Consider the following 17,597-nt stretch of genomic DNA (forward strand, 5'->3'; position numbering starts at 1 on the left):
ACTAGACAATGCTAAAGTTCCTTATAAGTCTAAAACTTAACTACTTTTGTTGATCTGGACTTCACATATTAAGTTACTCAAAGTTACCATAAACTTTTGGGAAGCCTGGGACCATTCTTGTCTCATTCTAAACTTACAGTCATCTTTTTCATATTAATTTTTGCTAATCTAGTTGTCAAATCTAAAATTGTACAGTAGAACTGGTTTGTGAACCATGGTTAGGACTTTTGTTCAACTCTTTGCTTATTTAATATAATGCTGAATCTTGATTCTGTTAACCAGCAATACATATTAGCTGCCCCACCCAAAGCACTGTGTTGTGTACAGCTTTCATCAGTATGTTCTTCAAAGGTTTGATCCAATTCACTGTTGAAGTGGATAGGACCAAAATACAGAATTCTACTGTTTAGCATCAATGAGGGCAATGATCCATTAACTCATTCTCTTTTATGAAGATGGTTAAAGGAATGACAAATCTACTTAATTATCTTTTCAGTCACCGCACATTTCTATATGTTACCAGAATACACAAAAGTATGTCAAATAAATGCCCTGCTGAAATAAAAATGTATAACATAGACATCTAGTTTAACATGGCAGAAAAAAATTGAGACATTTAGCTCTATTTATTTCCAAAACCCCACTGAAAGGACAAAGGAAACAAGAAAGGACAAAGAGAACAGGTGAGGAAACAGTAGACTAGAGATGTCAACATTTTGGAAGATGAGAATTGAATAAACAAATGGTAAATGACTTAGCAAAACTAAGCCATCCAGCAGAAAAGGAATCTAAACACAGAATTACCTAATATCATGACAAATTTTTTAATTGTTGGACTTGAGGAAAAAAAATTAATGAAAGGTATATTGATAACTAAGAATTTTTTTTAAAAATCAAGTATCAGCAATTTTTAATTCTGAGGGAAGGAATGATGGAGTCATACTAAAAAGGAAATACAGTAACAGTGCTCTCATAGATTGGTTGTAAACAATACTTCCACAGCCATAAAGCTGTAAATGTAAAAAAATTATTGAACCAAAAAATATGACATAAGTATATTGGGAGAATATGGGCAAGGTATGTACGTCATTAGGGATGGCATCTGTGAGACAATCAATAACAACATCTAATATTGAAAAAATTAAGAAATAATATTTAGAAATAAGGAGGTATCTAGACGACATGGATAAAATAATTGAACCACTTGCCTATAGGATTCAGAACTTTAGAATCTATGTAACCTAGTTATTGGAATTAAAGATAAATTATAAAAAATATTACATGATACTTTATAAAGTTATATATATATATGTGTGTATGTGTGTGTGTGTTTGTGTGCATGTGTATATATATATATTTCCTCTTGTCCTAGTAACCCCAACATAGAAAAAAAAAATTGAATCAATCCAGCATCACCTGCTCTTTGAAAGCCCACAACAGCTGGCAGTAAGCTCCACTTTCTTTGACAAAAGCTTTGCCGCCTTCTGGAAAAGTAGGCCATAAGTTCAGACAGTTTTTTCCTTAGGATGCATGATGACATCATGTAAATACTGCTTCTGAATCACCCTCATAAACACATCTTTCTATAAACTTCTGTTGCCCATAACCATCCTACTTTCATAGTCCTCCTCAAAAATTGTGGCCAGACATGGTGGCTCATGCCTGTAATCCCAGGACTTTGGGAAGCCAAGGTGGGCAGATCACCTGATCTCAGGAGTTTGAGACCAGCCTGACCAACATGGCGAAACCCCATCTCCACTAAAAATACAAAAATTAGCCGGCCGTGGTGGTGCACGCCTGTAACCCCAGCCACTCCAGAGGCTGAGGCAAGGCACGAGAATCACTTGAACCCAGGAGATGAAGGCTGCAGCGAGCCGAGATTGCAACACTGCACTCCAGCCTGGGCGAACAAGTGAGACTCTGTATCAAAAAAAAAAAAAAAAAATTCCGGAATTGTTTGGCAAGCCTGGAAATTTTACCATTACATTCTTCTGGTTAACCATTCAAGATGTCAATGCATAATCTTGCAAGTATTGTATCTGTGACACTTCTAAAATTACCATATTAATGCAATGCAGACTGTGTGTCACCTAATGTGGTTAGAACTCTTCATTTCTACTTTATTTTGATGGATTATGCTATTGACAGAAATAATTCTTCTCCAAGATCTGTTAAAACTGCTTAACCTTAACAAATTGTGCTTAAGTTAAACTAGGGTGTAATTCCAAAAGAAATTTAAACTACGATACTACTACAAACAAGAATCTCATATACATTTGATATTCTTCCAAGAAAATTAAAATGCACAACAAAAACAAAATAGACAAATGGGACTTAATTAAACTAAAAAGCATCTGCACAGCAAAAGAAATAAGAGAGTGAACAGACAACCTGCTGAATGGGAGAAAATATTTGCAAACTGCATCTAACAGGAAACTAATATCCAATTACAAGGATATTATAGTATTTACAATACTAATTGTAAGAATTTACAAGGAACTTAAACAAACAATAACAAAAAACCGTATAACCTCATCTAAAAGTGAGCAAAGGACATGAACATTTTTCAAATGAAGACATACAAATGACTTCATTTGAATGACATTTGAATGACATACAAATGACCAAGAAGCATATGAAAAAACGCTCAAAAGAACTAATCAGCAGAGAGATGCAAATTAAAACCACAATAAGATATAATTTTATACCAGTCAGAATGGCTATTATTATTATTTTTTGTTTTGTTGGTTTTTCCAATAAGCCTTTTACACTCCTAAGAATGGCTATTATTAAAAAGTCAAAAAATAAAAGATGTTGGCATGGGTGCAGAGAAGAGAGAACACTTATACACTGTTGGCGGGAATGTAAATGAGTGCACCCTTTATGAAAAACAGTATGGAAGTTTCCCAAAAAACTAAAACCACCATTTGATCCTGCAATCTCACTAATGGGTACCTACCCAAAGGAAAAGAAATCATTACATCAAAAAGACACCTGCATATGTTATGTTTATCGCCAAAAATACGGAAACAAGTGTCCCTCATGGATGATTTTATATATATATATACACATACACATACACACACACATTTTACACACACACACACACACAGGCAGACAGGCAATGAACTACTATTCCGCCCTTAAAAAAATAATAAAATTTCACGTTTTTTGCAGCAACATGGATGGAACTGCAGGCCATTAACTTAAGTGAAACAACTCAGAAACAGAAAATCAAAAAATGCATGCTTTCACTTATAAGTGGGAGCTAAATAATGTGTACACATGGACACAGAGTGTGGAATAATAGACACTGAAGACTTAAAAGGGTGGGAAAGAGGTGAGAAATGAGAAATTATTTAATGGATACAATGCATATTATTCAGGTGATAGTTACACAAAAAAACCCAGACTTCACCATTAGGGAATATATCCACATAACAACAAAAAAATTAGAATGCATTTTATCTAAAGTTATAATTTAATTTAATTTAATTCAATTAATTTATTTTTTTTGAGACAGAGTCTCGTTCTTGTCACCCAGACTAGAGTGCAATGGCACGATCTCAGCTCACCTCAGCCTCCCGAGTAGCTGGGATTACAGGCGCCCACAACCATGCCTGGCTAATTTTTGTATTTTCAGTAGAGACGGGGTTTCACCACGTTGGCCAGGCTGGTCTCCAACTCCTGACCTCAGATGATCTGTCTGCTTTGGCCTCCCAAAGTGCTGAGATTACAGGCGTGAGCCACCATGCCCAGCCAAGACTCCTATTTTTAATCACTTAAGCAGAAGAATGACATGACTTCTAAAACTTGTTTTAGTTTGTTCCATCCACAGAACCTAAAAATTTGTAAATTTATAAGAAAACTTTAACAAGGTTACAAATATATATCAATGTTTCTGGTTAATTAGGTGTTTGGCTGATACACTTTCATTTGTTTAAAATACCATGATTTTCTAAGAAACTATTAACTTAAAAGCAAAAATTTGATTTTAAAATGGCTTCATTTTGAACTAGAGAAGAAATACCTTTAAATTATGTTACATTTTGGTCTGGGTGCAGTGGCTCACGCCTGTAATCCCAGCACTTTGGGAGGCTGAAGCGGGCAGATCACTTGAAGTCAGGAGTTTGAGACCAGCCTGGCCAACATGGTGAAACCCCATCTTTACTAAAAATACAAAAAATTAGCTGGGTGTGGTGGTGGGCACCTGTAATCCCAGCTACTCAGAAGCCTGAGGCAGGAGAATTGCTTGAATCCAGGAGGTGGAGGTTGCGGTGAGCTAAGATCATGCCATTGCACTCCAGCCTGGGCAACAAGAGTGAAACTCCATCTCAAAAATAAAATAAAATAAAATTATGTTTCATCTTAAGCCTGCATTCTCTCAGATGATTTTCAAAAATGTTTAAAGCAGCAGAATCATACCTTTCAAACAAAATCTTATTGAAAACTCAAATGTATAAAATGTATAAAACAGATAACATGGAGAGTTCTGCCTGCTCACTTTTCTTTTCTCATTGACTTGGAGTGGAAAATAATGGATCTAAGACTGTGGGATATAATATGAAATGAACTGCTTTAGATAGTATTCATCTGTAAATTGTTAATAATTACAACTGCCAAAAAAAGAAAAGCTAGTAGCAGAAGTTAAAAGTTCCAATAAAAGCAGGGCGCAGTGGCTCACGCCTGTAATCCCAGCACTTTGGGAGGCCGAGGCAGGTGGATCACAAGGTCAGGAGATCGAGGCCATCCTGGCTAACATGGTGAAACCTCGTCTCTACTAAAAATACACATATTAAAAAAAAAAATTAGTCAGGCGTGGTGGCAGGCGCCTGTAGTCCCAGCTAGTCGGGAGGCTTAGGCAGGAGAATGGTGTGAACCTGGGAGGCGGAGCTTGCAGTCAGCCAAGATCGAGCCACTGCACTCCAGCCTGGGCGACAGAGCGAGACTCCGTCACAAAAAAAAAAAAAAAAAGTTCCAATTTAAGTTCACAAGTGACAGTTCAGTAATTCAGACAAGGAAAGAACAATATGCAGAGCCTGTCATATAAATCCTACATCAATCACAGAAATAAGTGTCTTACTTTAGAAGCCATGCAGGAGTGTCACAGAACAAGCTGCTACCCTTAGCCAATTTATTTACCTTTGTCAGAAGTATCCTGTGTTAATGCATTTTTGCATATTTCATCAGACACCAAAGATGGAAAAGATCAAAAAGGTTAATTTGTTGTGCCTCCATTTTGTTGTATGCAAGTAAAAACATCCTCTCACTCTATCCTACTTCAAAAGGATAATATGAATATTATTAAAATCATACGCCTGTCTCTCTAGTCTAACAGGTCTCCCATAAACATACGTGCACCCCTATGTGGATGTGAAAGAAATATCACCAGCCAGGTGCAGTGGCCCATGCCTGTAATCCTAGCACTTTGGGAGGCCGAGGTGGCTGGATCACTAGCTTAGGAGATAGAGACCATCCTGGCCAACTTGGTGAAACCTGTCTCTATTAAAAAAATACAAAAAATAATTAGCCGGGCATGGTGGCGGGCACCTGTAATCCCAGCTACTCAGGAGGCTGAGGCAGGAGAACTGCTTGAACCTGGGAGGCAGAGGTTGCAGTGAGCCAATATCGCGCCACTGCACTCCAGCCTGGTGATAGAGCGAGACTCCATCTCATAAATAAATAAATAAATAAATATCATCTATCTACTTATTCTTGCAACTAAGAAAAACATCAGCAATTATTTGTACATTGAGGATGTATATTTTCTTAACTCTAGAGGAAAATAATTTTATTTTAATGTTTACATGATTCTTTCCAGGCCTGATTCAGCAGAAGGCTCAAAACTTTAAAAATGAGAAAGTTCTCACAAGATTCCCCATGATTTTCAGTTAGTATCAATCTATAAAATCTGTTTTCATCCCATCATGTCCTCCTACCTACACAATCACTATCCATCAATTTTCCCTTCTGTCTTAAATCTTCATAATTCTCCTTTCATTGAGGCAGTACACAAAAGACTCCACAGAAATAATCTTTCCATTGAAAATGAGCAAAGGCCACATAGAAATACTCTTTAAAAAAATAAGCAAATATGTGTAAGTATGTTTAACTTCACCTATGAACACATACACATTTAAGTAATACCATTTTCCCCTATCAGACTGTCATAGATGAAAAGATTCTTGATATTGTTTAAGATTTCTGAAGCACTGGAGGAAATAAGCACAAGGACACACATACACACAAAGTGAAACATCTTTTTGGAGGGCAAACTGACAATGTGTAACAAAATTGCAAACGTACATATCCTTTGACACAAAAAGTACGCTTCCAGGATGTAGTCTAAGAAATTAAACCAACTTTAAATACAAGGAGATCGAGTAGACCAGTGCCAGTCCGTGGCCCTGTTAGGAACCAGGCTGCATGGCAGGAGGTGAGCAGTGGGTAAGCAAGCATTACCACCTGAGTGCCACCTGAAAGATCAGTGGCAGCATTAGATTCTCACAGGAGTGCAAACCCTATTACTGTGCATGTGAGGGATCTAGCCTACATCTAATACTTGATGATCTAGGGTGGAACAGTTTCATCCTGAAACCATCCTCCACCCCTGGTACATGGAAAAATTGTCTTCCATGAAATGGGTCCCTGGTGCCAAAAAAGTTGGGGACTGCAGGAGTACTGTATTAATTATAGTATTAAAATACAAAATAATTTTTGTGTATATTGATAATGGCTAAATTGAATACTATAGAAATATTTAAAATTGATGAGATATATTTAAGTTGAAACAAGATGTTCATGCTCTATTAAGCAATAAAAAGAGGCTTCTTTTTTTGAGACGGAGTCTCACTCTGTCTCCCAGGCTGGAGTGCAGTGGTGCAGTCTCAGCTCACTGCAACCTCCATCTCCCAGGTTCAACTGGTTCTCCTGTCTCAGCCTTCCGAGTAGCTGGGATTACAGGCGTCCGTCACCAAGCCCGGCTAATTCTTTGTATTTTTAGTAGAGATGGGGTTTCACCATGTTGGCCAGGCTGGTCTCAAACTCCTGATCTCAGGTGATCCGCCCACCTCGGCCTCTCAAAGGGCTGGGATTACAGGCATGAGGCACCACGCCCAGCCATAAGAGGAAGCTTAGAGCACAATTTGATTGCATTTCTAAAATATGTCCTAATACACATTTTTGAGCTGTAGAAAATTAAACCATCATTACTGGTTATCTCCACAGACACCTCTAAAGTAGAATTAAAAAAAAATTTTAAGCAATAAGTGTATTTTCTTTTTAAAAAAATTTGCTTTAATGAAATTGTTTTGCTTTGATTACTACTTTTTGCTGATTACAAAATACACATGGCTCATTTTAAAAAGATAGGGAAGGGCCAGGAGTGGTGGCTCATACCTGTAATCCCAGCACTTTGGGAGGCCAAGGCAGGCAGATCACCTGAGGTCAGGAGTTCAAGACCAGCCTGGCCAACATGGTGAAACCCCGTCTCTACAAAAAATACAAAAAATTAGCTGGGCGTTGTGGCAGGTGCCTGTAATCCCAGCTACTTGGGAGACTGAGGCAGGAGAATCGCTTGAACTCAGGAGGCGGAGGTTGCAGTGAGCCAAGATCGTGCCATTGCACTCCAGCCTGGACAACAAGAGTGAAACTTCGTCTCAAAAAAAAAAAAAAAAAAAAAAAGAGGGTCGGGGGGTGGCCAGGCGCGGTGGCTCATGCCTATAATCCCAGCACTTTGGGAGGCCGAGGTGGGTAGATCACAAGGTCAGGAGATCAAGACCATCCTGGCTAACATGGTGAAACCCCATCTCTAGTTTGGTGTGATTTCTTAATCCCTATCTCAAGCCTAACTTTCTAAGTCTCAGATATGCATTTCTGCATATGTGTCACCCAGTCCTCAAATATTCACAAACTCTATCTTACCTGCCTTCCCAACCACTCTCCCTAGTCCTATATTTACTATCTCAATTAACTCATTTATGCCTAGTGTTCCATTATTGGAACGCTAGGCTGGTGGGAGTTATTTATATACACTGCTCGAGGTCATCACCAAGGTCTGATTTTTCACAAAAAAATTTGCAGCTTCCGGCATAAATGGGTTTACATCTTCCTCATTTATAAGGTCTCTTCAAGCTGGCACATTTAGTCATCTTTGACTTCTTCCCATCAAATAATTAGTGACTAAATCCTGCCTAAAGTCTATGTCTAAAATTTCTAATTTACCCTGTCCTCTCTCCATCTCACTTCCATTTTCAGAGCTAAGACCAAAGGCCCTGCTACTTCTGACCTGGACAATTCAGCCTTTCTTGAGTACCCATTACATACCACACACAGTGAAAGGAATTAGAATATGAGGACTAAAAAGCAAAGTAATACCCTTACACCTATCTTGGGAGAGAGAAATGGAAGAATAAAGTACAACATGATAAGTATTACAATTAGAGCAAAATCTACAAGATGTCAACTTCTTTCCTATTTGATCTAATCTTACAATACAACCCGAATTCTCTTTCTGGAATATAAACTAGATTATGTCACTCTGTTGTAAAACTCCTGATGATTCGACCCCATTGCCTACAGGATAAAGTCCAAATGCTTTAATATATGCAAACACTTCACAATTTCGTCCCAACTTACCTAAAAGCTTCATTCTATTACTTTTCTTTCACTTCACATCCTATGACCCAGTCATGTATAACTAAATGCTGCTGTGATATGCTGGGCACTTGCACAGTATCTAGTGATTGTGTATCCTGCACAAGCTCTTCTTCCTTATGTCTACCAGCAGAAATCCTGTCCTATCATCAAATCATACCTCCTCTTTGAAGCCTTTATTAACCTTCTCTGCCAATGTAGTTTCCATACAATCTGGTTTTTTGTTTGTTTGAGACACGGTCTCACTCTGTCGCCCAGGCTGGAGTGCAGTGATGTGATCTTGGCTCATGGTAGCATCAGGCTCCCAGGCTCAAGCCATCCTCCCATCTCAGCCTCCCAAGTAGCTAGGACTACAGGTGCATACCACCACACCCAGCTAATTTTTGTATTTTTTGTAGAGACGAGGTTTTGCCACGTTGCTCATGTTGGTATTGAAATCCTAAGCTCAAGTCATCTGCCTGCCTTGGCCTCCCAAAGTGCTGGGATTACAGGCATAAGCCACTACACCCAGCCCCCAATCTGCTATATTATCACTTTGTATTGCAATTTGTTTTTCTCTGTCTACCACTAGACTGTGGTATTTGTAGAGACAAAAACTATATCTTCTTATTTCTATCCTTCCCAGAGTCTAGTATCAGTAAATATTCAAGAAATAGTTGTTAAATGTATGATGAAGGCTGGGTGCAGTGGCTCACGCCTGTAATCCTAGCACTTTGGGAGGCTGACGTGGGCAGATCACCTGAGGTCAGGAGTTCGAGACCAGCCTGGCCAACATGGTGAAACCCTGCCTCAACTAAAAATAAAAAATTAGCCGGGCATGGAGGCACACGCCTGTAATCCCAGCTACTTGGGAGGCTGAGACAGGAGAATCACTTGAACCCGGGAGGCAGAGGTTGCAGTGAGCCGAGATTGTGCCACTGCACTCTAGCCTGGGCAAAAAGAGCAAAACTCCATCTAAAAGAAAAAAAAAAAAGAAAACTGTATAATGGGGTGGAAACATTTGCAGAGAACCAAAATGCACTATCGTTACTTTTTTTTTTTTTTTTTTTTTTTTGCTGTTTGGAACCGATAGGTCTACTATCTACCACCACCCCCACATAAACCTGGAGCCCAAAGAAAGTATGCTTTATTTTCCCCCCTCTTCCTATTCATCAGCTTTTTATCCTTCCATCTCATAAATAACAGTAAACAATACAGAAAGAATCCCTGCCCTTTAAAGGGCTTATATTCAAGTAAGGAGAGGCAATTAATAGGGAAACATACATATGGTCATTTCAGATAGTGATGAATGCAATGAATAAAATAAAGCAGTTTGACGAGACAGGATGTGCTAGAGAAGAAACGTGCTATTTTAAATGAGAATGAGGAACAAGTGATAGAATGTTTCTCTGAGAAGGTAAGACATAAGCTGAGGCCTAAAGGATGAGAAACAACCCACTACGCAAAATTTTAGGGAAATAATTCTGCAAGCAGAAGGAATTGCAAGTGTAAAGGCTCTGAAGCAGAAATGCACACGGTTGGTCAGGTGTGGCGGCTCACATCTGTAATCCCAACACTTTGGAAGGCCAAGGCAGGAGAATCGCTTGAGGCCAGGAGTTCAAGACCAGCCTGCAAAACATCATCTCTACAAAACATTTAAAAATAAAAAAATTAGCTGGGCGTGTTCTTATGCACTAGCTATTAAGGAGGCTGAAGTAGGAGGATCGCTTGAGCCTGGGAGTTGGAGGCTGCGTGAGCTATGATCATGCCACTGCACTCCAGGGCGGGTAACAGAGCAAGACCCTGTCTCTCAAAAAAAAAAAAAGAATAAGAAGAAATGCACTTGGCTGTTTGACAGACTGTGTGTCTAGGAAAGGAAATTAGTTTAGAGAAGCAGAGCTTTGTAGGTGGTAGCCATGATGTAGGCTGACTGCACCTGCCTTGACTTTGGAATTTTGTAGTTTACAATCTTCTCCTCGCTAATATTAGAACAAGAAAATGACGGAATGGGGTATGCAGCCCACTCTATTGTCAGGAAGATGCCAGATAATTCTGAAAGTATCTTTTCTAGATACAAGGCCATAACAGTATGGTCCCAGGGCTAATGAAAACTTGATAAGCAGAGAAGAGTAAAAGCACATGAAAAGAAAGACAAGTTCTTCTGACTACAGGCAAGTCCAAATGAGAAACATCAAAATTATCTCAGATTCAAAGAGGAAACAAAACACAATACTACTCTGAAAATATATATGGGCTATAAATGTATGCTTTTAACTGAATGAATTTTTCCCTTCCCACGTAAACTTATAATACAAATCTAGACTTCAGTGATTAAACAGATTTCCACTTTTAATTCACCAAGGTTTTTCTTCACTTTCACAGAAATGAAACAATTGTCTGATGTTTTGAGAATTCAAAGATTTAGATGCTTTAGAAACTGCCTCTTAGCAATCATTTTATGGATGTTTATGTCATAATTATTTAATCCATCCAAGTAGTACTGTGATGTTACAGTCAATTTATGACATAAAGAAATATTCACAGAACTATTCGTTAAAGCAACTCTGTGATTGCTAGAAAGTAAAGCAGTAATTACACATCTTACTCGTATTGTAAGTAGCATCTGCTGGCTTTGGTAACCCGAACACAATTCTAAATATAAAGATCCTTTCATTATCCTAATTAAGTCCTGAATTTCCAGGTTGTCAGCCTTCTAACAGTAAAAATAAATCCATTCTCATCATTCTTAAATTCAAATGGTCTCTGGCTAGTATAGTGATGTTTCTCCAAGGCTCTCTATGGGGGATCAGAGATAAGATTTTGTCCATGTTCTCTATGCAGGACCATCACAAGTAGCAGAGGTGGTCAGGCGTAGTGGCTCAGCCTGTAATCCCAGCACTTTGGGAGGCCGAGGCGGGTGGATCACTTGAGGCCAGGAGGTCAAGACCAGCCTGGCCAATATGGCAAGAGCCCGTCTCCACAAAAATACAAAAAAAAAAAAAATAAGCTGGGCATGGTGGCACATGCCTGTAAGTCCCAGCTACTCTGGAGGATGAGGCACAAGAATCACTTGAACCTGGGAAGAGGAGGTTGCAGTGAGCTGAGATCGCACCACTGCACTCCAGCCTGGGTGACAGAGCAACACTCCATCTCAAAAAGAAAAAGAAGTAGCAGAGGTAACAAACATAATTACATTATGTTCCCACCCTCCCACCACTCCCCCCAAAGGGCCAAAGTTTCTTACAATGAGTCTTCACATTAATCCACAGTCTCAAGAGCTATGAAGGAAAAGAAAACACTTTAGCCTAAAAGATGACCTTTCCACATTCTCCAGGCTAATTTCCAACTTCATATATTTATACGGCCTTTTATTTTCTCTATCCCACTCATCAAGGGAGAGCCATTAAAAAGTATATAAATGGCCGGGCGCGGTGGCTCACGCCTGTAATCCCAGCACTTTGGGAGGCCGAGGCGGGCGGATCACGAAGTCAGAGGATCAAGACCATCCTGGCTAACATGGTGAAACCCTGTCTCTACTAAAAATACAAAAACAAAATTAGCCGGGCGTGGTGGCGGATGCCTGTAGTCCCAGCTACTTGGGAGGTTGAGGCAGGAGAATGGCATGAACCCGGGAGGCAGAGCTTGCAGTGAGCCGAGATCGCGCCACTGCACTCCAGCCTGGGCGACAGAGTAAGACTCCATCTCAAAAAAAAAAAAATTTTATATATATATATAAATACCCAATGTACCTTCTTCCCAATCTCACATTTTTAGACAGATTAATTTTGTCATTATTTTCCATCTCACCCATAAATTCATAATTGAAATAGAAAATCCATTGCCTTAGTTGGGAAATAAAATTGCCTAACTTCTCCTTGGAGTTCTAACTTAATTCTAATGCTGGAAACTCCAGGAAGAAACGCAAACAAATTATCTTTTGGAAAATTTCTCCAAACAGGATGTACTGTATATCCTTGCAGACTAAGCCTGGGTATTACTGAGTAAGGATTTACTCTTTTCTTTTCAGGGGCAGAGTCTGAATTAAACCAAGGCCTTATGTCCTTCTTAAAAGACCAACAGCATCTGCATCACCTGGAATTTGTAAAAATATGCAGAATTTGGGGCTCCACCTCAGACATCCTAAATCAGAGTCTGCATTTTACTGATATCTGTATGCAACTCTATGTTCATCAGAAAATCTCAGAACTGGTAGAAAACTTAAAAGCCCATCGCACACACATAAAGAGAGATGAGCCTTGGATAACAAATAATTGATAATGACTATAGTGCCCCTTCACAAATTATTTCTTAACAACAGGTTCTCCTTAAGAAAAATTTCTTGTAAAACTATAAACGGCTTGTCTTGAAACACACCAAAGCTTATCATAGGTATTGTTGTTAGTAGAAGTCACTGACATAACCAAGTGCTTACCTAATCTGAGCTCTCCGAAGTTCCCACATCCTATCTTCTTGCCAACCCTGAAGTTGGGTCCCACCATAAGAACCCCAGAGGACGATGAGGAGCCAGATGGTCGAGAGCAGTGTGCACTCCTTTGTGCCATGGGTTTAGTTGTCCGTTGTCTTTCATCCTTTTCCCTACTAGGATGGTCCATGATCCTACAGGACAGAGTCTCCTATAGTACAGCAAGTAGCTTCAGTATGTATACCTCTCTTCAATACAAAAGTATGTCCAAATAAATTGTAGTCAGAGAAAGGTAAGGAGTTCTTTTAGCACCATATTTGTTTGTAATGTATCTCCGGGAGATGAAAAACCATTTATTTGTTCCCGTAGGAAATGTAGTCACTAGGTCTCAATCTTAGGTGAACATCTTGTAACCTAGGTAAAAATCAAGAAAACATGTAGTTAAAAATTAAATTTTGAAACAAATTCAGAAAGTCACTACCAATTAGAATGAATCCTATCCAAAGGTGAGCAAAATGCATAGCTTCTGAAATGGGTTTTGGTTTTCTATCCTCCAATAGTTTAACCATCTGGATTAGTTATTCACATAGTATCATAAGCTCAGTAGGCTGCAAACCATAGAAGCTACAGAAACACACAAGCCTTTAATATAGAATGCTTTCTTCTAGTAATGTATCTATGACCAAAAAGAAAGACAATTGTTTTTCATCACTGGCTAACAGAAATACAGAGCAGTGCTAAAATCAAGTTAAAGAAACTGAGGATGATTTAATTTTAAGCTCTTCCTTTTAATTTCGCCAAAACTTATAAGAAATTAGACTATTCACTCCCCCATTCCCCTATCCAAGCATTTACCAAGCACTAGCAAGAATTATGTAATCTTCAGTTACCAATCAACACAGACAACCTCTATGAAGGAACTTCCAAAACTCTATTGGTATTAAGTAGTCCTAAAGTTCTGAAAAGCTAAACTTTTGGTGGTTTTTGCTGTATGCTGAGTATGCAATGACAGAGTGCCAAAAAGAGATCCTTTGCAGAACCCCAAAGTGAAAATAAAGCAAAAAAAAAAAAAAAATCTTAAGCGTAACATTCATCTCTACCAGAATTCTGCAGTGTCCAAATTCAGGACTGAGCCCAACACAAATGTTTGCAATGAGATAATTTTGATGCTATATTTGATTATCCATGTGAGTATTCTTAACAAAAAAAAAAATACTGCTATCACCAATCACATACTAAACACACACTTATATTTCACTTTCATAAATGTTTTCCTTAAAACTTAAGTGAAAAGAAGGCCAGGTGTGGTGGCTCACGCCTGTAATCCCAGCACTTTGGGAGGCCAAGGCAGGCAGATCACCTGAGGTCAAGAGTTTGAGACCACCTGGCCAACATGGCAAAACCCTGTCTCTACTAAAAATATAAAAATTAGCTGGACGTGGTGGCAGGCACCTGTAATCCCAGCTACTCGGGAGGCTGAGGCAGGAGAATAGCTTGAACCTAGGAGGTGGAGGTGGCAGTGAGCCGAGCTCGTGCTACTGCACTCCCACCTGAGTGACAGAGTGAGACTCCGTCTCAAAAAAAAAAAGAAAGAAAGAAAGAAAACTTAAGAGAATTAGAACAAATGTCAAATGTTTGGTTATTATCACCAATTATACAACAAAGCAAAGACACCTATACTCTAAACTTCCTGAGGACCTGTAATTCCCTACTAAAGTAACAGGTAAAAAGCTGTCAGCTGACTGTACAAGTGGGCACATAATCCAATAATACAATCTGTTTGCTTTATTTATTTATTTATTTATTTTTGAGATGGAATTTCGCTCGTTGCCTAGGCTGGAGTGCAATGGCGAGATCTCGGCTAGCTGCAACCTCTGCCTCCCAGGTTCACGCGATTCTCCTGCCTCAGCCTCCCAAGTAGCTGGAATTACAGGTGCCTGCTACCACACCCAGCTAATTTTTTGTATTTTTAGTAGAGACGGGGTTTCACCATGTTGGCCAGGCTGGTCTCGAACTCCTGACTTCAGGTGATCCAACCACCTCAGCCTCCCAAAGTGCTGGGATTACAGGCGTGAGCCACCATGCCTGGCCTCTGATTGCTTTATTATAGTTTAAATAAACTGCTTTTCATTTTTGTTTTCTTTGCTTTACAATAGATTTACATTTATAATGTATATTCTGTAAAGGAAAAAAAAATCAAAGCGATCAAAGGAGGTCAGCAACTACTGAACTTCCTACATGAACAACATTAAGAATTCATATTTCCTCATTGTTTCTCCTATTTTCAAGTATATCCACTATCCCGGTTATCCTTGTCTTTTGCCTAAATCCCTCAAATGATATTAGAAAGAAAGAGAAAAAAATATCATAATTGTTGGGAGTATGTCTATACGTGAGACTGTCAACTATACTTCCTTCCATTATAAGTTAATATGAGGACAGAGGCAGAATGTGTCTTGGCCCAATTCAGTCAATTTATAAGTATTCAATGAACTCACACATTTTCAAAAATTATCACTACAATAGCCTCATTTATAAAGATTTGGAAACTATATTACATTGCCTATTTCTCTTCATATTTTTCATTTTTGCTCACTGTTTTTTCCAACAGATGGATGTTATTTTTATAATACTTTGCACTAATTTCTTCCATTGCACTTAGACTAGTATAACATTAGATGGAATAATCACACATAGCCCTCATTATCCATGTTTACTTACATGTATGTATTAGAAGAACACACAGTATTTGTCAGGTTAAAAACCCATAGAAGCCAGGTGCAATGGTATGTGCCTATAGTCTCCAGTTACTTGGGAGGCTGAGATGGGAGTACTGCTCAAGCCCATGAGTTCAAGGCTGGAATGTGCTATTATCATGCCAGTAAATAGCCACTGAACTCTAGCCTGGGCAACACAGAAAGACCCTGTCTCTAAAAAAAAAAACAAAAAAAAAATTAAAAATTAAATTTAAAAATATTAAAAATTAAATTAAAAAAAAAAAACCCTATAGAAAGCCAAAAATTGGCTGGGCATGGTGGCTCATCCACGTAATCCCAGCACTTTGGGAGGCCAAGGTAGAAGGACTACTTGAGCCTAGAAGTTTGAAATGAGCCTGGGCAACATACGGAGACCCCATGTCTACAAAAAATTTAAAAATTAGGGCCGGGCACAGTGGCTCATGCCTATAATCCTGGCACTTTGGGAGGCCAAGGCGGGTGGATCACCTGAGGTCAGGAGTTCAAGACCAGCCTGGCCAATATGACGAAACCCCATCTCTACTAAAAACAAAAAAATTAGCCAGGCGTGGTTGTGCATGCCTGTAATCCCAGCTACTTGGGAGGCTGAGGCAGGAGAATTGCTTGAACCCAGGAGACAGGTTGCAGTGAGCCGAGATCATGCCATTGCACTCCAGCCTGGGCGACAAGAGCAAAACCCCGTCTCAAGAAAAAAAAAAAAAAAATAGCTGGGCATGGTGGCGCACACCTGTGGTCCCAGTGACTTGGGGAGGCTGAAGTTGGAGAATTGCTTGAGCATGGGAGGTTCAAGGACGCAGTGAGCCATGATCGTGCCACTGCACTCCAGTATGGGTGAGAGCAAGGCCCTGTCCAAAAAAAAAAAAAAAAAGCCAAAAATCTCACTCAGCTGGGGGAAAATGTTCATAACACCTACTTGTAGAACAGAACAATCACTTTACTTCCCACAACCATGACAAAAACTGACACTAAAGGTGCTGTGTCAATTTTCTAATCTATGCATGGGACATAAGCATTGTTCAATCTATAATTATGAAAGATGAGGCCAGGAGCAGTGGCTCATGCCTATAATCCCAGTACTTTGGGAGGCCGAGGTGGGCAGATCACCTGAGGTCAGGAGTTCAAAACCAGCCTGGCCAACATGGTGATACCCTGTCTCTACTAAAAATACAAAAAAAATTATGGTGGTAGGCGCCTGTAATCCCAGCTACTTGGGTGGCTGAGGCAGGAGAATCGCTTGAACCTGGGAGGCGGAGGGGGCAGTGGGCTGAGATCACGCCATTGAACTCCAGCCTGGGCAACGAGAGCGAAACTCCACCTCAAAAAAAAAAAAAAAAAAAAAAGGAAAGAAAACGAAAGATGAATAATATTCAATGCTACTTTATGTGGCATCTCTCACTTAAGAAATTAAAGTTACTAAGTTTTTTAAAATCCTGTTTCTTTATCACTCTCAATTACAACTGCTCAATTATAAACTGCTCAATTACAAACTCTTTGGCTTATCATTTGAACTCTACTTAAATTCATGTAAAACAGTATATGGGAGGTTACATGAAGTCTAAAAGAAAATTAAGTCATATTATAAAAGCATCAAAAAAAGTTTCACTAATTTACTGTTTGTATATTTCAGATTCTCATATATTGGCTTTATCAAAAGTGAGGTACATAAATATTTAAATTTCAAAGTCAAAACACCCTGGGTTTTTGTTAATAATCAAAAGAGAGATTGCCAGGCTTCTAAATCTCTCTTCTTACACAACTTATGATGAAATTGTTTATAGGTATAG

General features: G+C 39.1%; 1 protein-coding gene across 4 annotated transcripts in view; it reads right to left on the bottom strand.

Annotated features, from left to right (window-relative positions):
* CSNK1G1 (casein kinase 1 gamma 1) overlaps positions 1 to 17,597 on the bottom strand; it is a 190,649-nt gene that overhangs the window by 121,728 nt on the left and 51,324 nt on the right. For all 4 annotated transcript variants that reach the window (NM_001329606.2, NM_001329607.2, NM_022048.5 and 1 more), the window contains exon 2: positions 13,067 to 13,471. In NM_001329606.2, coding sequence (NP_001316535.1) covers positions 13,067 to 13,247 — 181 coding nt within the window. In that variant the 5' untranslated portion in view covers positions 13,248 to 13,471. The remainder of the gene's footprint in view (positions 1 to 13,066; positions 13,472 to 17,597) is intronic.

The sequence above is a fragment of the Homo sapiens genome, chromosome 15 (assembly GCF_000001405.40).
Source record: "Homo sapiens chromosome 15, GRCh38.p14 Primary Assembly".
Lineage (NCBI taxonomy): Eukaryota > Metazoa > Chordata > Mammalia > Primates > Hominidae > Homo > Homo sapiens.